Genomic DNA, 21728 nt, shown 5'->3' on the forward strand with positions numbered 1-21728 from the left:
TGGGACATATTTGCGTGGAGTGCATTGATCGATAGGCTCCCTTGACCTCTGGCTTCTAAGCTGTCAGTCATGCGAGGAACCTGCAAAATATGACGAGTGAAAGGAGAATGGAGTCAGGGTAATTATTCCATTGGTGTCTTTCCTCTCTTCCACGTCACTATAGATTGGCTGTATTTCTCTTGCACATGCCACCTTCTTGTCAGGCTGTTCTATCCATGTACCTTATATAATATTCCCAGTTCTGGTGACCACTCCCTCCCATCCTTCAGACCTAGGAAGTGTAATGGCCCCTACTGTTACTAAGCCAGGATACAACACTATCTACTGTTTGTAGAGATGGAGAAACCAAAATTATAATAAATAATCCCTTAATTAAATGCTCCATTGTTTACTCAGTTTGAATATGCCTTCACTTCATGACAGGACTCTGACTTTTACAATAAATAATAAATGCACATGATAAAAAAAAATCAACAAACTCAAACTAAACAGATGGTACAAAATTCTTATGTTCTTTCCAATTATCATTCCTTAGAGGTAAACATCTTCAACTATTTCTCTCCAAATAATATATTGTTTTCCATATGTGTTTTTGGTTAACCAATATCTAATAGTAACTATGGACTCCTTACTTTGAAATACAAAAGTTTAGCTCATCTACATTTCTAATACCTCTCTTCCCCATGCTCCAACAGTCTTGGCAAGTGATATTAGAATGTTCAGATCACCTTCTATCTTTAGGATAGGTAATAAAATGCAACTTCTTTTTCTTAATCCATCAACTTCTACAAAATGTGTCTTCAGTTCCTGCCACAGAAAATTAAAAAAAAAAAATCAGTGGCCCCACATTCCCTTGCCTTTCTTTATTTTCCTCTCCACTTCCCAATTGTTTGTTAGCTCTAGCATGGATTGAATACTACCAGGTTAAATAATTGACTTTTTTTTTTTTTTCCAGAATTCAGACATCCAATTACTCAAACAACTTTTGGGTTTTCCTGAAATTTCAATGCCTTGTTTACATTTTTCCACTTTAAAAAAAAGATACTATGCCTGCACCATAGCACTAAGTTCATTCAGCTTTCAAATACATAATTTGTGAAAGTGAACACAATTTCACTTTGTGTTTTGTTGTGAATTGCTATCTAAGCCTACTGCACACCTTGTATTCTAAGCTTTCTTTTCATTTCTCTCCTCTCATAATTATACATTATTTTTTTCTTTTTGATTATATGTTTAGATTATATTTTAATATTCCTAGGACATATTCTTAATTATTTTTCTTGGTCAATAAGTGCATTAAAGGTAAATTTTGTGATATCTTGCATGCAGAAAATTCTTAATTTTGTCCTTGTGGTTAATTGTTACTCAGTTTAAATACAGAATGCTAGTTAAAATAATTTACTTTAAAAACCTTGAAGACAATACATTCAGTGTACTGTTTTGATTGAAGTTTTGCTAGAGTGAATATATTGCATTTTCTTTTTGTTCTGGCAGACTTTTTATTTCATTAAAGCTTTAGTGTTCTTTTGATTTCTCTTTGATAATCACATACTTTTAATTTCTAAGAATTTTTCTTATTCTCCTATTGCCCCTTTTCATTTATCATTCTACGTTTCTTTAAAAATGCAATATGTGTGTTCACTTCAGCTGCACATATACTAAAATTGGAATGATACAGAGAAGATCAGCATGACCCCTGCACAAGATGGCATGTAAATTCTTGATGCATTCCATTTTCTTAAAAAAAAAGCGATATCTTCTTGTGTAGCTGTGAAGAGACTAAGTAGATTATTTTTTTAAAAAAACATAACTTTTGTGCTCGCTTTGGCAGCATATATACTAAAATTGGAAGAATATAGAGAAGATTAGCATGGCCCCTGCACAAGGATGACATGCAAATTTGTGAAGCATTCCATATTTAAAATAATAATAATAAAACATATCTTTTAATGTGTGATTTATTCATTTTTTCAAGGTCTGTATTCTACTTCCTTGTCTTGGGCCTTTTCTGTTTTGCTGTTTCTGTTCCTTGCATACCTATTGCTCATTAGATATAAGTTCATAATTGTGAAGGAAGGATTAGATTGATTAAATTCTAGCAGGATTCCTCTTTTCCTATTAAAGTGCTTTCCCAACAGTCTTGTCATGAAAATGAGACTATTGACCTAAATTTAAATGTCTACTTGGGCATGTTATACGGATGGTCCCATGTACACTGGTTGGGCATGCCACATGGAAGGTCCTATGTACACTCGTTGGGTATGTCATATAGTAGGATTCTCTGTATGCTGCCCAGGTATATCACATGGAAGAACCTATATTCTCTGATTGGCAACGTCATATGGAAGTTTCTATGTATGCTGATCACGTATATCATATTGAAGTTTCCAAGTACAATGGTTGGGTATATCATATGTAGATTTTGTTTATCAATATGGGGAAGAAGTAGGTAAGCTGTGTTCTATAAAGCCAAAATTGAGGAGGGGTTTATTCTGTTGGATTGAGGCCAAAACCAGAAGTCCTAATCCTTCACAGACATATCATTAAATTTCTTCAAAACAACAGCGGGACTTTCAGCTTCTGGTCTTATATATAAGAAACCTGAAAGTTATCATTTCATCCTAATAACAAATAAAAAGCTGAACAAACTAAAACTTGAATACATTGTCTTAGATCCATCAGAGACATGAGGTCATAAGACAAATCCCTGTCCCCCAAATTAGAGAGACCAAGAGGAAAATAGAGACAATCAAAACTTACTAAAGCAGAAACCCTAGTGGAGACTTAAAAATGATGCCCCAAAACATCCTCTTTGGACTTCAAATAAAGTAGGAATAGCAAATAAAGGAAGGGCTTTCTCTGAAGTTACCCTCCCTGCCTAAAGACTGAATCTTTCAGGAAATATCCAATTGTTGTGATACCCTTCCTTAGATACTTCATTAATCAGAGGAAATCAATGTATATTCCAGGAAGGAAGACTGATGTGGACACCACACTCAGAACCCAGATGAACTTTGTCTCAGGCTACTGTTTGTTCTTTAGGCCCATTCATTTCCCCTAAAAACAATTGATTCTTCTTCTAAAAATTGCCTATATCCCCCACTTTCCTCTGTCTTATGAAGATGATATATAAGCTTCAACCATCTGGTCCTTTGTTGAGTCTGATATTTTATGGGACTGCTGTTCACTGGCACATAGTAAATTTCTATGCCTTTTCTCCTATTAATCTGTCTATTGACAGTTTATTTCAGCCAACTAAATTATCAAAATTTCAGGGGAAAATTTGAGCTTCCCTATACTCATGAGCTGAAAATCTGTGGAAACCAGTGCCAGGCAGCAAGTCCTGAACTGTAGTTGACACACAGTTGGAGGCTCAGTATAGACAAGTCTGAGATATAAAAACTCCAGGGGTGCTCAGTCATTTTGGAGTCCAGTCATTTGGGAGCTCCAGTGATTTTTTGAGTTTTTACCTCCTGGAGTTCTACCAGGTTCCTACAGAATAGAGAACCCAGAAATAAAGCCAAATATGTATAGTTAACTGATCTTTGACAAAGCATACAAAAACATAAATTGGGGAATGGGCATTCTATTTAATAAATGGTGCTGGGAAAACTGGCAAGCCTCACATAGGAGAATGAAATCGGATCCCTATCTCTCACCTTATAAAAAAATCAACTCAAGATGGATCAAAGACTTTAATATACGACCCAAAACCAGGAAAATTCTACAAGACAAAGTTGAAAAAACTCCTCTAGACATTGGCCTATGTAAATATTTCATGACTTAGACCCCAAAAGCAAATGCAATGAAAACAAAACTAAATAAATGGGACCTAACTCAACTATAAAGCTTCTGCCCAGCAAAAAGAATAATCAGCAGAGTAAACAGACATCCCACAGAATGGGAGAAACTATTTGCAAACTACACATCCAACAAAGGTCTAATATCCAAAATCTACAAGGAACTCAGACAAATCAGCAAGAAAAAAATAAATAATCCCATGAAAAAGTAGGCAAAGAATATGAACAGACATCTCTCAAAAGAAGCTATACAAATAGTCAACAATCATATGAAAAAATGATCAACATCATTAATCATCAGGAAAATGCAAATTAAAAGTACAGTGAGATGGCACTTTACTCCTTCAAGTATGGCCATTACTAAAAAGTCAAAAAACAATAGATGTTGGTGTGGATGAGGGGGAAAAGCTCATACGTGGCTAGCGGGAATATAAATTAGTACAACCTCTATGGAAAACAGTATGAAGATTCTTTGAAGATCTAAATGTAGATTCACCATTTGATCCAGCAATCCCACTACTGGGTATCTACTCTCCCAAAAGGAAATCATTATATTAAAAAGAAATTTGCACATGTATGCTTATAGCAGCACAATTCACATTTGCAAAGATGTGGAACCAATCTAAGTGCCCATTGTCTAATGAATGGATAAACAAAACGTTATATATATACACCATGAAATACCACTCAGCATAAAAGGAACCAAATAATGTATTTTGCAGTATGTGGATGCAGCTGGAGGCCATTGTTCTATGTAAAGTAACGCAGGAGTAGAAAACCAAAAATTCTATTTTCTCACTTATAAGTGGGAGCTAAGCTATAAGTATGCAAAGGCATACACAGTGATATAATGAACTTTAGAGACTTGGAAGGGGGAGGGTGAAAGGAAGAGTACAGATAAAAAAATACATATTGGCCGGGCGCGGTGGCTCACGCCTGTAATCCCAGCACTTTGGGAGGCCGAGGCGGGTGGATCATGAGGTCAGGAGATCGAGACCATCCTGGCTAACAAGGTGAAACCCCGTCTCTACTAAAAATACAAAAAATTAGCCGGGCGCGGTGGTGGGCGCCTGTAGTCCCACCTACTCGGGAGGCTGAGGCAGGAGAATGGCGTGAACCCGGGAGGCGGAGCTTGCAGTGAGCCGAGATTGCGCCACTGCAGTCCGCAGTCCGGCCTGGGCGACAGAGCGAGACTCTGCCTCAAAAAAAAAAAAAAAAAAAAAAAAAAAAATACATATTATATACAATGAACACTATGGCTGATGGGTGCACTGAAATCTCAGAATTTCCCACTATGTAATTCATCCATATAACAAGAAACCCCTTTTACCTCAAAGCTATTGAAATAAAAATTAAAGATATGTATGTGTATATATACATACATATTTACACACACACACAATAAAAAGATAAAGAGTCAGAAGATAAAAGAACACCCAACTATATATTGTCTAAAATAAATCCATTTTAAATATAAAACACACATAGATTAAATGTTAATGGATGAAGAAAATTATACCAAGCTAAAAACATGAATTGAAAGAAAATAGGAGTAGCAATATTAATTTTAGTTACAGCAGACTTCAGAGCATGGACATTTATCAGGGATAAAAAAGAGCACTACGTAATTATAAAGGGGTTAATTCTCCAAGAATATATAATAATTCTTAACATGTATGTGCCTAACAACAGAGTATTAAAATATGTGAAAGAAAACTAATAGATCTGTGAAGATAAATATATAAATACACTATTATAGCTGGAGACTTCAATACACTCCTATTAGAAAAGAACAGATCCAACAGACACAAAATTAATAAAGACAGTGAAATTCAACAACACCATTCATCAACTGGACATGATGGACATCTACAGACAACTTTATGCAACAATAGGAGAATACACATTATTCATAGATTCACATGGGATATTCACCAACATAGACCACATTCTGGGTCATAAAAAACACCGGAAAATTTAAAAGAATAGAAATCATACAACGTCTACTCTCAGACCGCAGTGGAATTAAACTAGAAATCAATAACAGAAAGATAGCTGGAAAATCCCTAATTCTTTGGAGATTAAACAACACTTCTAAATAACACATGGGTTCTCATTCTTATTAGATTAAGGGTTCACTTGTTACCCAGTTCTGATAATAAGACTTAAAGTTGAGATTCAGAGATAGCTCAGAATAAAGGGCTCTAACATTGCTTCTTTCTTATTTACATTAAATTGGTTAAAACGCTGCATGTGATTACAACTTTTTAGTTCTCTCTATGTATGTAGCACAACTCTTAGCATATAATGAGATTTTGTTATTGCAATCCCTACAACTTCACAATATTACATTGATGTCTTTCTTTTCTGAAATATTAATAAAGGTATCAAATTTTATTTTTCCTATTGAATATGTTTATATATAATTAGACCACAGAGGAAAAAATACTGGCATATGTTCTCATTATTTTTTAATAAATATATATTTAAATATTTTTATCATTTCAATACACTCAAAATGTTGGCATTTCAAATAGATGTCAGTTTTCAAGTAACATACACTTATAATTATACTATTTTAAATAATGGTGATTTTTTTTTTCTAATTGGCTAATGTTTTAATTCAACAAACCTGTAGAAAACATTGTCCTTCTTCAAAGAGCTTCATTCCTAACTAGAAAATATTTTGCCCTAAGGAATGAGAAAACAGCACAGAAAAAATGTCATAATCTTTCTCAGTAGCTGATATTCAGACAAAAAAATGTCCTACATGTTTATATCATTTAGTTTACATCCAAGATTTTGACACTACAATGAAAATTACAATATTGAGAAAGTCAAAAGCATCTACATTTGAATAAAATCAAAGAGAAGGGAGGAAAGAAAAAAAATAAGCAAACACACTCAGATCCTTAGCTTAGGTTTTTAAACAGCTTCATAGCATCAGTCCCTTCCACTCTAAACAGCAGCAGCAGTGGCAGCAATACAGACATTCAACCATGAAATGAGCATGATTTCCAGGTGGCCTTCTTCAATAAGAATAGCATTAAATGACTATTTAAATTTGCCAGGAAGTGAAACATTTCTCAAATAAGAAGCCTATACAATTGAAATTCTGTGCAGCACAGCTAAGGGAAGATTTGAAGCTGATACCTACCTACTACTACCACCATCAAGCGTTCCAACATTTTTTAAATGAGCAAACTAATGATAATGAAACTAATTTTACCACATCACCCTGGGAGAGGAAGATTTTCGATAAACTTTTGCTATTAACAGCTAGGATATTCTGAAAGTATTTACCATTAAGAGATAAGCACAATGAGAAAGGTAGCTTTTAATATACAGCAGAGAATGTGCAAATAAAACCACTGATATAACAGAATCCCAGTATAATAGCGTTTGCAACAGTCAACTTCATAGTTAAGGTTACAACTCAATTTCATATCCCTGCTTTACTTGCTCATAAAAACTTGGTGGAAAGTTCTTCAACATTAAAACTTTTCATACTTGGTCTCCAAGTAAATATGAATGATAAACATGAAGGTTTTTCAATTTTAATAAAAGATTTTTTCTTTCCCTTTCTCCAAGGACAGTTCCTTCACACAAGTACTCCGACAAATAGCATGAACAAGGGGGAATTTAAAATGCATGAATTTCCTAATTAAACTTCAAATGTTTATTATGGACCCTTTTCTCTTAAACAACACCTGAAGTTCAGGGAATTTAAAAACCTTCTGACAAAGCACTAGTCCTCTGGGAGGAAAAATACTGTCTAGGCTTCGAAAACCCATTCAATAACCTGAAACTTATTTAGATCTTAACTAGAGAAAATCTGAATGTGGTTATAGAAATTTTGGTGGCCTCAGATTATAGTAACACTCTATTAAAATTACATACAATTACATTTTTGCTAATAGATCTGCCCTGGAATTTTCCCCATTATATTGTGAATATGTTTTTAATTTACTGTATATTATAATTTTATTATAATTTATTTTAAAAATTCTATTGATATATAATAGTTGTACAAAACACATGTGATATTTTAATACCTGTATATAATGTGTAATGATCAAAGCAGGGTAATAGGACTATCCATCACCGCCAACATTTATCTTTCCTTTGTATTGGGAACATTGCAATTCTTCTCTTCTAGCTATTTTGAAATATACAATAAATTATTGTTAACTATGAATTCCCTCCTATACTATGGAATACTAGAACTTATTCCTTTCTATCAAACTGTGTTTTTATACCCTTTATCCAACTTTTCTTCCTCTCTCCTTCCCTTCCCATCTCATATTATCATTTGTAATTGGTACATAATAATTGTATATATTTATGGGGCGCAGGGTGATATTTTGATGCATAAATACAATGTGATGTTTTAACACATTAAAAAACCTTCTTAGCTGGGGAGAGACTGCCTCTCCCCGGATTAAGCCAATTCTAAGAGATAGTAAAGGACCCAGCAGGAGTATGCCTTTGATAAACAAAATAACCACCAGAGCCATACCTTCTCTACCTGGCCCACCACCCCAAGAGGTAACAGTCCTCTGCCTTAATCATCCCAGGGCCAAGTAGCAGGCAAGTAGGGGCCACCCCTATAGCCCAAAGCCTGCCAGTTATTCAAACAAGCCAATCCTAAATTATTCAACCTGCCCCACCTTGCCTTTCCTGCTGACCCCAACAAATGCAATGGCTGAAACCATCCTCTCACTCCTGTCTTCTGCCCTTTCACCACCCTGGTGTCTTTCCTGTGTGGCCCTGTGTGGCACGTTGTGCCTCCTTGTCTTCTAGGACCTGTGAGTATAATAACCTTCATTTTTTCCTGAACCTCTCCATTGTCTCCTCTTGTGGCCACACCTCACTGACCATCACATAAAAGAATACAAAACACCCTTCTTCCCAGATGTCACCTAATACTTTATTGGCAAGGATGCATCACTAAGTCTGACCAATAAATCAGACATGTAATATCTGACAATAAGATTTGTTTCCATTCCTTTTCATCTCACAACCTCCTTCAAAATCTTTCTGATATCTCAGGCAAATATCTAGCTCTGTTCCCATCAATAATATCTCTTTTAGAAACTGTGGACACCCCTCAAGACCTTCCCCTTCCTTGAAGGACTGCTTAACCTATCCAGTGGCACTAACCAAGAACCACAGCACACCTACCCAGAGGTGGTAGGAAATGTATGGAAATAGTACCTTGGGGAATAAGGTAGGGAAAGCATTGCTTGGCTTTTGTCGGTAGGAGCTAAAGATGCTTATTAATTATCTGGCAACATTCTGCAATGATACAAAATGAATTCTATGGTTCAAAATGTCAGCAGCACCTTGTTGAGAAATAATAGTGTACGTGATCTCTCACTTCAAGAAATTGGTCATCTAGGAAATCATTCATATTAGGCCTGCCCAGTCCTAGATGTCCTAGCAAACTAGAGCTATAGAAACATATTATGTAATTCACATCAGAAAATGGATACGATTGTTCCAATTCTTGAATAGATCTTGAGAAAATAACCTCTCCCTCCACATGAGTATGGAACCCAGAAATGGTCATTTGAGATTTAAATATTCTGTTTCTAAAGGACTTCGGACATTCATAGATAAAATGAAGTCAGAAATACAAATCCCCACACTCCAGGTCTTTATTATCTAGACTGACAGAGCATAAAAGTGGTGGTGGTGGGGGGTGATGTGGGGAAGGTGGTATAGGCACTGCAGCAATCTAGAAAAAGATGACTCAATACTATTCAAACACCAAAACCACAGGAAAGGTAAAGAGAATGTCCTTTAAGACTACAGACTTTCATATCCGACATTCCCAGGTCCGAGTCCTCTGTTTTGTTGCTTAATATGAATGACATTAGGTAATTGCTTCTAGAGGTTGGGACTTCTAATAGATAAAGTACAAGTAAAAATGTGGAAAGAAAGAACTAAAGACCAGTTTAGAATCTATCATCCTGAGTAAAGCAGCAGCATTAGGAAACAATAATAGGTAATATTTATTGAATGTTTATTCTTCATGAGGTGCTAATACATGTATTCACTTCATCCTTACAACTCTAAGAGGTTTTATGACCCATTTTGGCCACAAAGATTATGAAGGTTAGACAGGTGACATCACTTGAACAAGGTCACAGTAGCTTGTACATGGAAGAGTTAGGGCTTGAACCTAGGGCTTCTTTACTTGAAATCAAAAACTCTTAGCCACTACTCTAACCTTCCTTCTCCGACAGCATCATGAAAGGTGCAGTATTATGGTGGTAAAGACACAAAAGCAACCCCAGGACATCAAGACAGCCTCCTTGGACTTCCACTTTGCTAGGGAGAATAAGTAGCATTTGAAAGGAATGATGCTGCCAAGATTTGCTAAAAGCTATGCCAGGCAGAAAGCCAGTGGAAAGGTGGCAATCTCATCACTGGCACAGCACAGAGAAGGAGCTTGAACAAAGTCTCTGTGACAGGCATGGAAATGTGCCACTCAGCTCTTCCAAGTGGAAGCATAACTGACAGGCGGCCCCAGCAGCTGCCTTTCTGACTTCACTATTGTATTCACACCCATGAGCTCTTCCCAGCCAATGCCTAAGAGCTTCAGGAACACCAGTGCAGAGGAGACATGGGACTCCTCTGGCAAGCCACCTTGGCTTGTGGAATTCCAGTTGGCCTGGCTGACACTTACTTAGAACCGTGCTGCAGTCTGAGACTTTTCCTGCCCAAGCCTCCTTCCTTCTGTCTCTCCTTCAATGGGATCAGACCTGCATTAAGAATGTGGCTTGAAGGTTATCTCCACCTTCTTCAGCACCTTCCCATTTCTTCTTCACAGATGTTTTCTCTAATACATTTATTTCATGTGTAACCCCATATTGGGGTCTGCTTCTTCTTGGAGGATACAAACTAACAGTCACAGATTATTCATGACCCCTAGTTAGATGGCTTCTTCAATCTCAAAAAGCAACAGAAAAGATGTGATTTCCTTTGCCGTGATGATCAATGGCTATGTCTCCCCAAAAACTTACTAACCTCAGGCATCTGGGGTTACTAAAGCAAATGGAAAATTATGAAAAGGAAAGAAAATGGAGATAAGTAAGTTAAGAATCGCAGCATAAATCAAAGGACAATTAAATAATTAAATTAATATTTTTATCAGCACAAAGCATAACTGATTCCACAAAAGAGGCTTGATGATACGGAAGATCCATTGAAGAGCTCTCTCTAAGAAAGAGAGTCAAAATCCATGAAAGAGCATATCGCAAACTGAAGGACAGAGACCCAAGAGCCAACATGTTTAGTGATATGTGATCCAGAAGAAAAAGCCGGAACTAATAAATAACAAAGATAAAATAGAGCAAAATATTCCTGAGCTGAGGAAAGAACTAGTTGTACAGAAGAAAATGTTTCCCAAGCTACAGGATAAATTGATAAAAGAGCAGCCCAATTGCTCTAATTTTTCAGTCTAGTCTTTATCTTTCAAGCAACAGAATATTTTTACATTTCTGGAGACTTTGCTTGATCCTCCTTACATCCTTAAAGTGGGGTTCAGACAGTTTTTGTCAAATATTATGAGTTATAGGAAAACCAGCATCACAGCTCTGTGGATTCATTCTTTACCCACGTTAAGAGGGGCAAACTGATGTTAGTTACCAAAGTGCTCTCTCCTGCCCATCAACTATCTCAAATGCTGTTCTTTCAACCTGCTGACAGTCTGTTTTACCCATTAGACCTGTTGTGAACTTAACAGAAACACTGCAGTCAGACAACATATGAGCATGAGTTATTATGAGGGTTCTCCCTAGGATTTATATTTGTTCTCTACTGATTACCTCTGACCGACAACCCCCACAGTTAGGACTGAAATATGCTTGGAACATTTGCATCAGTTCAGGTTTCGGTCATAAGAGCAGGCGAGGAGATAAAGGGGAGGGAGGCACTAGAGGGACTAGTAAGGCACTACTGTCTTGAGAGAGCTCTCTATTTGCTCCTTTTTTTTCCTTTTTTCTTATTTATGCAACCTAAAGCTACCTACATCACTTCTCTACCAGGCACAATTGATATTTTGTTGTTGTTGTTGTTTTGTTTATGATACAGAACCTTGCTCTGTTGCCCAGGCTGGAGTGCAGTGGCATGGTCTCGGCTCACTGCAACCTCCGCCTCCCAGGCTCGAGCAATTCTCCTGCCTCAGCCTCCCGACTAGCTGGGATTACAGGCACCCGCCACTGCACCCAGCTAATTTTTGTATTTTTATTAGAGACAGGGTTTCACCATGTTAGCCAGGCTGGTCTCAAACTCCTGACCTCAGGTGATCTGCCCGCCTTGGCCTCCCAAAGTGCTGGGATTACAGGCGTGAGCCACTGCACAATTGATATTTTAAAGAGCTCGCTATATAAAGATTTCACTTCATGTAGCATGCCTTACCTTTGAGGGATACAATGGAGTGATTGCTTTGCTCAGCCACTGTTTGTGTGCAATTTAATGAGGTTTTCCTTTCTTCCTTTAAACATATAGAGATGGGCTCTTGCTATACTGCCCAGGCTTGTCTTGAACTCCTGGCCTCAAGTGCTCCTCCTACCTCACCCTCAATATATGAGTGTATCAAGCAAGTGTCTTAGTTGCAAACTAATAGAAGCTAGCTGATTAAGCATAAATGAAGTCGAGAAGTTTAAGTTGACATAACTATGGGAAGGGCTAGAGAACCAAGTTTAAGAATAGTCTTCTGTTTGTCAACTCTCGCCTCCCTAAAAGACCACTAGAAAAACCTGTGGATCATGGAAAGCTAAACCAATTAAATCTACATAAGCAAAGGATAACACAACCTTGAAAAATACTTATTTCAGAAGGGGGAAATCAGGGCAGATAGTTGTAGGGTATTTCAAACCCAGGCTGAATGATTTTCATGCCATTGTTTCAGGAGTGGAATTTCTTGGAATTGGGTATGGCTTATGATATAATAGCTTTGGATTGGTAGTCACAGTGAGGTGAGAAGTTTCTTGAAGAAGGAAAATATGATATATCCATACAATGGAAAATTATTCATTCTTAAAAAGGTAAGAAATCCTGCTCTGTTGAGGTTATAGGTGCACCAAAATCTCAGAAATCACCACTAAAGAACTCATTCATGTAACCAAACACCACCTGTTCCCCAAAAACCTATTGAAATAAAAAAAAGAAATTAAGAAATCATATCAGGGCTAGGTAATTAAGATTAAAAATTGTGCAACTACAAAATATGCATTGTGATATAGAATAAATAAGCCAAAAAATTTTTTAAAAAAGAAATCCTGGCTGGGCATGGTGGCTCACGTCTGTAATCCCAGCACTTTGGGAGACTGTGGAGGGTAGATCACCTGAGGTCAGGAGTCCGAGACCAGCCTGGCCAAAATGGTGAAACCCTGTCTCTACTAAAAATACAAAAAAAAAAAAAAAAAAAAAATCAAGCAAGCATGGTGGCGGGTACCTGTAATCCCAGCTACTTGGGAGGCTGAGACAGGAGAACCACTTGAACCCGGGAGGCGGAGGTTGCAGCGAACCGAGATCGCACCATTGCACTCCAGCCTGGGCAACAAGAGTGAAACTCTGCCTCAAAAAAGAAAAAAATAAATAAAAAAGAAATCCTGCCGTTTGCAACAAGATGGATGGAAACGGTAGACATTATACTAAGTGAAATAAGCCAGTCACAGAAGGACAAATACTATATTATATTACTTACATGTAGAATTAAAACAGTCAAACATATAGAAGCAGAGAGAAGAATGGTGGTTACTAGGGGTTAGGGGAGAGGGAGAAATGGGGGAGATGATGATTAAAGGGTATAAAGCTTCTGTTTTGTAAGATAAATATCATGAAGATAGATCCTATTGTCTGTGTGTATGTGCGTTTTTAACAGACAATAATAATAACAATAGTTGTTATAATTATTATTATGATAGAGGAGGCACAAGGAAACTTTGGGAAGTGGTGGGTATGTTTAAGGCCTTGATGGTAGTGATGGTTTCACAGGTGTATACTTATCTCCAAACTCATTGATTTGTGAACATTCATTAAGTAAAATTTTTCATGTCTCAATCAAATCTCAATAAAGGGAGGCCGAGGTGGACAGATCACGAGGTCAGGAGATCAAGACCATCCTGGTTAACACGGTGAAACTCTGTCTCTACTAAAATTACAAAAAAAATTAGCTGGGTGCAGTGGCATGCACCTGTAGTCCCAGCTACTCGGGAGGCTGAGGCAGGAGAATCTGCTTGAACCCAGGAGGCAGAAGTTGCAGTGAGCCGAGATCGTGCCACTGCACTCCAGGCTGAGTGACAGAGCGAGACACCCTCTCAAAAAAAAAAAAAAAAAAAAAAAAAAAAAGAAAGAGAGAAGGATATTGAAAAGAGAGTACATTGATAAGAATTGTGGCTGAAAAATAATGTGTCTAGCAGAAAAATTATGCATCCAGGATGTAGGGGAAAATGGTCTTGGGGGGATAAATTGTTTCCACCACATGAAGTGACTCAAAACTGTATTCCTGGATGGTGTGAGCCCTTAGTGATTCTGATATTTGAGTAATTTTTCATTACTTTTGACCAATGAACACAACTAAGCTAGAAGGTTTCCTCAGAAGTGCCCCTGGGGTCAAGACACACTATTTCCTGCCTTCACTGTGTGTCATCAATGTGTTTTGTCCATTGACAATCAGGCGCATTCAAACATGCCAGTCAGTTTTCTAAACTCTTTTTCACCCTGTGAATTATGTAGAATAAGAAACTCAAAGAATTCAGGTGGTAACCTCCATCTCCCAATTAATTTTTTTAATAATGAAAACCTTCCTGTCTCAGGGACCAGATAGCTAAGTCAGCAGAGCTGAGTAGCTGGAATTAGAAATCAAAATTTTATAACTGACTTACTTAATGTGATAGTGAAGGAAACAAGTCCACTTTCATTTTGTGTAACAATGGACTGCCTCTTTTGTACTCTTGATTTCTATATAAAAATATTAAATAAACACATATTAAAATATTAAATAAACAAAATAATCACACACTTAGCCTCTAGTCTCACCTGATAAATCCTCCCACAAAGTGGAGTGAATGGGTCTGTAATCTGTTTCTTTTCTCCTTCCCCCCTCTCCTCAAGTCAGTGAGCAAAGGCAACCCAGCTAAATGTTTTTCTAGAGGCCATCTTAACTCCTAGGCCAGTAGGTATGGAGTTAAAAGGCCTGTTATGTTTGGATGTTTGGCTTTCACTATAAGATGTGTCCTCCAAGCTGTATTTATCAGTCATAGGAATGACATGTTCCACTTGATCTGCAAATAGCATCTCCACTCTTCCACTTACCCATTTGGTGGGTTCTACCATAGACTGTACCCACTTAGTCAAAGCCACCCTCATCTCTTGTCTTGATTATCATGAAGTCCTCCCCTGGCCATGTACCCCACAACCTCTACTTGCCTCCAGGAATCTCTTCTTCACATTCAGCCAGAGAGAACCTTTAAAAACAAGTTAGGTCATAAATTCCTCTGTTCAAAAGTTCCTAGTGGCTTCAGAGCGCTGTATCATCAAGGCCTGATCCCCACCTACATCTCTTTCATATCTTACCTACTTTCTTTGCTCTGTGTATCAGCCATGCTAGCTTCTTTGCTCTTTCTGGAACATCCTAAACACTCCATTAAGTCTCCTTCATTTGCTGTTCCTTTTGCCTGGAGTTTCTTTCCTACACATAGCCACATGGCTATCTGTCCTGTTTCCTTTAAGTCATTCCTTGCATATCACCTTAACAGTGAGTCTTACTCAGACAGAGCTGTATTAGCTAACACCTTCCTCATCTCATCTAAGCATTTTTCAACTTTTGAAACAGTCAATTTCCATGTGTTAAAATTCTGGTTTCTCCCATTAAAATTAAAACTTGCTAAGAACAAGAGTGGATTTGTTCACTCTTATATTCCTAGGACAGGAAAAATGCCTGGCATATTGTAAATGCTCAATGAACATCGTTTGAAGAAATGAAAACCAAACTATGTCAGACTGGAAAACTGTCGAGGGTGACTGACAGGAACATTGAGGAATTTCTGCAAGATAGAGCCTGCATGGTGACCAGCACACAAGAATTGCCTGCAGATCACATGTCATTGTAAATAAAGGGAAAGCCCGGATTCCCCAGGACTGTTCCTCTGAATAACCCACTACAGAATGTCAGGTGCTTGCAATTTAACTGGCTTTCTGTCAAGGAAGCACTTGCCACATTCTCTCTCAATTGGCACAGGACTCAGGCAGGGAAGAGGGTAGCTGTTTACTGACTCCTTTGAATCTCAACACCCCTATAAGACAGACTCAAACCTTACAAAGGGTTGTCTTCTATCTGGCACTGTAACTGAGTCTTCTGTATGTCTTTCTACCCATATGTTAGGGTCATTTTGATTAGCTACAGTAAATAAATAATGAGATACAGATAAACTAAAACCAATGAATCTAATGAAGATCAGTTCATTGCCCCACTTTTTTCACTGCCTGAAGAATGTCTTGGGCAGAAGTAATAATAGGGTGATATCATGGCAATAAGTAAAGCATGCAAATAGGTCTATCATGGCAGTGTTTTAGGTAAATAGATTTTGTATGTAGAACAAAGGGTAGCTTGTGTGCCACATGACACTTTGAGATGTAGTGTTAAATCTGTGATTCAGTGTTTGAAAACTGAAATTTGACAATTGGGCCATAATCCATTCGGTTGGGTCATGAATACACTCCACGGTTACTTTATTATGTATGAAACCACTGAGCAAGCGCTGGGATAGCTGAGGAAAGAGGCTAAGTGACATTTGGGGAACAAATAATCTCATCCACATAACTGAGCACTTTCTATGCAGTGGGAATATTTCCATGTATTCACACATATCCTCACACTCTGGGCCTATTCTGAAAGATTGAACCACACCACTCTTCCCTAAATGTCCTTGTAACCAATTATGTCATCCTGCTTTATTCAAAACCTTGACCATCCAAGGAAATTATTTACCATTGTTGATTAATCAGCATATCTTTGAACTTCAAGCTACCTCTTTATTCCAGGCAGGGTGGAAAACTAGATTTGCTACTTGGCCGGAATGACTTCTGTTTCCTATTGTCTTTCTGCTACTAATGTGCCTCTCGCACTCATATTCTGAATGAGGCTATACTGTTGCAGTATTCTATTTCTGTGCATAACTGGGATGTGAGGGGTTGTCTATAATGTGGGCTCATTTTCTGCTTCTTGATAACTGATCCTGGGTATTGAGCAAAAGTAAGTCCATCTGGCCTCATTATAATTCCTAGGGTGCCATTTTTTCCCCCAAATAATTCTTTATCTTTCATATAAGAAATATAGAAAGGCTTTGAATTCAGCAACTCACAGCTACCCATGGATTTGAATTTTGAGTCTGTGTTTCAGCTATCTCAGCCCTGTGGCTAGAATTGATACAAGGTTCTTATCACTTAGACACAGAAATTCCATGATTTTCTATCTTTGCCTTGAATGTAAGACTTTGTGCTTGTCATCATTTTTAATTTAAGTTGTCCAGAACAGTTAGAAGAAACCATCTCACACTAGAATCCTTTAATTTCTCATGTCGTTCATGTCAGAATGTGTAGTGTTTAAGAGCATACACCCTGGAGCTAGACTGCCAGGGTTTGAATCTTATCTCTGTCATCAACTAGGTGTAGGCAAGCTGTTAATTATCTGTGCCTCAGTTGCCTCGTTTTAAAGAAGAGAATCGTAATGAAGATCAATTAAATAAATTTCTATGAAGTGCTTAAAGTTGGGTAAGACTCTGTAAACACTACATAAATGTTTAATCTTATCATTTTTTCTATGGATTGGCCACTAGCCATGTCATCATTAGTAACGTTGTTCAATCATTGTCTAGCTATAATTTATTTGGTTGTTTTGTCTTGTGCATCACACACTAACAAAGTTTCATCTCTTGATACTCATTGCATTTTCAGAGCCATCATCCTGAAGCAAGAGAGATAATCTCTTGAATAAACAATTCAAGAATTAATTTTATGAATAGTCAATAGTTTTCTTACAAGAAAAGATACTGACTTGAGTGGATTAATCACAAAAGATGCCTTTTTAAATTCGTTTACTTTGTAAGATAGTGGGTAGCTCACAGAACTGTTGAAATGACTGCCAAACTAATCTTGCCAAAATATAATGCTATCCTCAGTGTTTCTGGCACACTCAGTAGTTTTCCTGTCTAGTACTGATTTTTTTTTCATTTATTCAAAATGTATTAATTGAGCATTTACAAAGTGCCAGGCACTTCTGTTTCAGGACTACAACAGTGATCAAATCTGTCTCTGTTCTTAAGGAGCTTAGAGTTTAATAGGAAGAGGCAGATCATAAACACTTAGGAATAGACTAAAACTTGAAGGATGGTTCGATGAAATGAAGAAGGAAGATGCTGTCATATATTTTGGTCAGAGAAGGCCTCTCTCTGTGTGACTTGAAAGAAGCCAGGAAAATAGTCACGAGTTTATCTGTGAGAAAGGAACTCCCGGCAGAAGGAAGAGCAAATGGAAAGAGCCTTAGGGAAGATCATGTTTAGTCTATTCCAAAAACAGCAATAAGGTCAGTGTGGCTGGGAGAGAGAGGGCAAGAAAGAGCATGGTAGGTTGTGGCATCAGAGATGTAGAGGGGGGTCAGAACTTTAGATTGTGTTCTGAAGTCCCTGGGAGATTTTTAAAAGAAATATAAGATCTAACTTGTTTTTAAAGAATCACTCTGGCTTCTTGTGAAGAATGGACTCAAAGAGATGGTTAGTGGCAGTGGCAAGAGGTTATTACGATAGTCAAGCCAACTAGATTAGTACAGTCTGAGGTAGAGCCCATTGAATGAGTCAGTGGAAGAATGGAGATCCTACTTGCTAAAATGAGAATGAGTAGAGGAAAAGAAAGTTCATGGAAAAGGTAAGTTTGCAAAATGCAAGTGTTTTGGAGGGGGTCATATTAAATTGGATATGTCATTTATATAACTGTTGAAATATCAAGTAGAAAGGTAATAGGCGTTTGGAAATAAGGGGAGAAGCTCCTTTTTTATTATGTATGTATGTGTGTTTGTGTGTGTACACATATACATATATATAACATATTTCTGTCATTTCAATAGGAATTTGAGATAAAGCATAGTTAAATTATTTTAAAATGATTCCATCTTGAAATTGAAACTGAAATTTTATTAGGTACCAAGAAACAAAGTTAAGCAGAAATCATGGAAGGTCATTTTCATGTAGAAATTTTGTAAAGATTTGCTTTCTCGTATTTGATCTCTGGAAATAGCCTGGCTATTTTTTTCTAATTTTCTTGATGAAAGCCATGATTTTGTGTCTGTATATATATACACATACACACACACACAGATATGCAGACCTTTTTTTTCCTCCAGATTCATCTTATTTCAGTAGTTACTTTCAAATAAATAGGACTTGTGTTTGTGTTTGCATCTCACTATGCATATACCTCCTCCTAGGAGAACAATTTTAATTTTACAAAGAATGTGTCTTAGCAGAGGGTTAGAGGACATCTCCCTGCCAAAGTTAGTGGTATAATTAAAATGTGTATGAGGCAGATAGATGGCAATTGACTCCCTGCGGTTCCCTCTAATATAGATTCCCTAAATCACAGGCCTTGGTTATGACTTCAGCAGTATGTTGCCTTCTCCCTAACTACTTTCTTTACAATTGCCTGCACCATGCAGGGGATGTATTTTGCCTTACCAGCTGCAGAAAAGTGAGACACAGCACAAAGCCTGAGTATAATTTTGCCCATTTTCTTTAATTGAGGATATACAATAACATGAAAGCTTCAAATTCACGGAAGAGAAAAATGGTTTCCCATTTCCTATGAAGTAAGCTTTAGAGAGTAAAATGACAGTTTCTTCCAAACAAGCTAAGTGTACTCATTTAGCAAAGACAAGTTGCTTTGGATATCACAGTTTAAGAGAACATTGCCCATACTGAGGTGTGTCTTTTAGAGCTGTACATACTTAGTAGAAGACAGAATTGAGTATTGGTAATTGAACATGAGAATCGTGAAGACAGAATCACACAGGCAGAACATGAAGCTTAGGTCTGCAGAGAAAAAGAAAACTTTGAGTAAGTAATCAAGAAAAAAAAAGTATCACTATTTACTACAGTTGTATAAATGCATAATTGAAGGCTGACAATATCTACTCCCAAATATAATATAAACCCAGAGTAACCTTACTCGTCATAGCCAAAATACTGAAAACAACTTAACTATACATCCTCAAAAGAAGAGAGAAATCATGGTTTCTTCACACAATAAAATTATAAGTAGCTGTTAAGAGTCATGAATTAGCGCTGTCTACAACAATATAAATGAATCTTGCAAACATAATAGTAAAATTGAGAGAAGTTATGGGTTATGTAGGAAGAAAACAAACCCAAATTGTTTTTTCTATTCCTTCGCTCAACAACAATCAATAGAGAAAATGTCTGTGACCAAATGTGTGGAGATTTCTTCCCACCAATAAGTAGGCAATCAGTTCTGCAGTGGACACTAGCTAGGTAGGTGTCCTCCAATTTAATCCAGACACTATCTACCTGGAGACAGCATCAGAACCCACAGGTTGAGGGCTCAGTCCCACAAGACTGCCCCCTACATCTTATGCCAATAGTAGGCCTAGGTTGTTTTACCTGTGCTTCTGACCAACTGGTTATAGATTGAGGTTCCAACAACCCTCTCCCTGTGTTTGACTAATTTACTAGAGCATCTTACAGAACCCAGGGAATCACTTATTTACATTTACCAGTTTATTATAAAGGACAATACAAAGGATAGAGATGAAGAGAGGCATACGGCAAAGCATGGCAAAAGGGGCGAAGAGCTTCCATGTGTGCCAGAAACTTCCAGCTATTCAGAAGCTGTCTGAACCCAGTCTTTTTGTGTTTTTATGGAAACTTCCTTCTGTAGGCATGATGGATTAAGCCATTGGCCATTGGTGATCAACTTAACCTTCAGCTCCTCTCCCCTCCCCAGAGGATGGGGATGGGAATGAAAGTTCCAACCCTCTAACCCTCTAATTCTGCCTTTCTAGTGACCAGACACCATCATGAAGCTACCTAGGAAGTAGTAGCCATCAGTTAGCATCAGTTAACTCATTAGGATACAAAAAGACATCACTTTAGAGATTCCAAGGATTGGGACGAAGACCAAATAAATACATTTCACAATATCACAAGGTAAACCTTCGGGGTTGATGCCAGTGTCTATTTCTTGACCTGGTTGATGGGTATAAGGGTGTTTGCTTCAACATAATTCAGAAAGCTGTATGTTTTTGTTTTATTTACTATTATTTATGTGTGTTACACTTCAGTAAGGAAAAGTTTTAAAAGTTGAATGCAGAAATCTACCTGAAAGGATGAGTTAGTAAAGTTCTAGCTATCAGAAATTTTACAGGAGCCCTATTTAACTTTGATTGCTACTAAACACAAGCTACAGCGAAAGAAAAAAATAATATTCTCCTTAAGCTACATTAATACAAAATCACAGAGGGGGCAAAAACTAGTTTGTGACTGTTGTTAATTTTGCCTACTAGGGGAATGGAAATTCCTCTCTAGGAAAGATATCTTCTTTTTTTTTTTTTGAGACGGAGTCTCGCTCTGTCGCCCAGGCTGGAGTGCAGTGGCGGGACCTCGGCTCACTGCAAGCTCCGCCTCCCGGGTTCACGCCATTCTCCTGCCTCAGCCTCCCAAGTAGCTGGGACTACAGGCGCCCGCCACTACGCCCGGCTACTTTTTTGTATTTTTAGTAGAGACGGGGTTTCACCGTTTTAGCCGGGATGGTCTCGATCTCCTGACCTCGTGATCCGCCCGCCTCGGCCTCCCAAAGTGCTGGGATTACAGGCGTGAGCCACCGCGCCCGGCCAGGAAAGATATCTTC

At 37.7% G+C, this 21728-nt stretch overlaps 1 long non-coding RNA gene and 2 pseudogenes across 2 annotated transcripts in view; 2 read left to right on the top strand and 1 right to left on the bottom strand.

The window, feature by feature from the left end:
• RNU6-827P (RNA, U6 small nuclear 827, pseudogene) lies at nucleotides 1635-1740 on the top strand (annotated as a pseudogene).
• RNU6-812P (RNA, U6 small nuclear 812, pseudogene) lies at nucleotides 1816-1922 on the top strand (annotated as a pseudogene).
• Nucleotides 19713-21728, bottom strand: part of LOC105374822 (uncharacterized) — a 30622-nt gene continuing 28606 nt past the window's right edge. For both annotated transcript variants that reach the window (XR_940276.3, XR_940278.2), the window contains exon 5: nucleotides 19713-19894. This is a non-coding gene — a long non-coding RNA (uncharacterized LOC105374822). The remainder of the gene's footprint in view (nucleotides 19895-21728) is intronic.

This window comes from Homo sapiens, chromosome 2, assembly GCF_000001405.40.
Source record: "Homo sapiens chromosome 2, GRCh38.p14 Primary Assembly".
In the NCBI taxonomy this organism is placed as follows: Eukaryota; Metazoa; Chordata; class Mammalia; order Primates; family Hominidae; genus Homo; species Homo sapiens.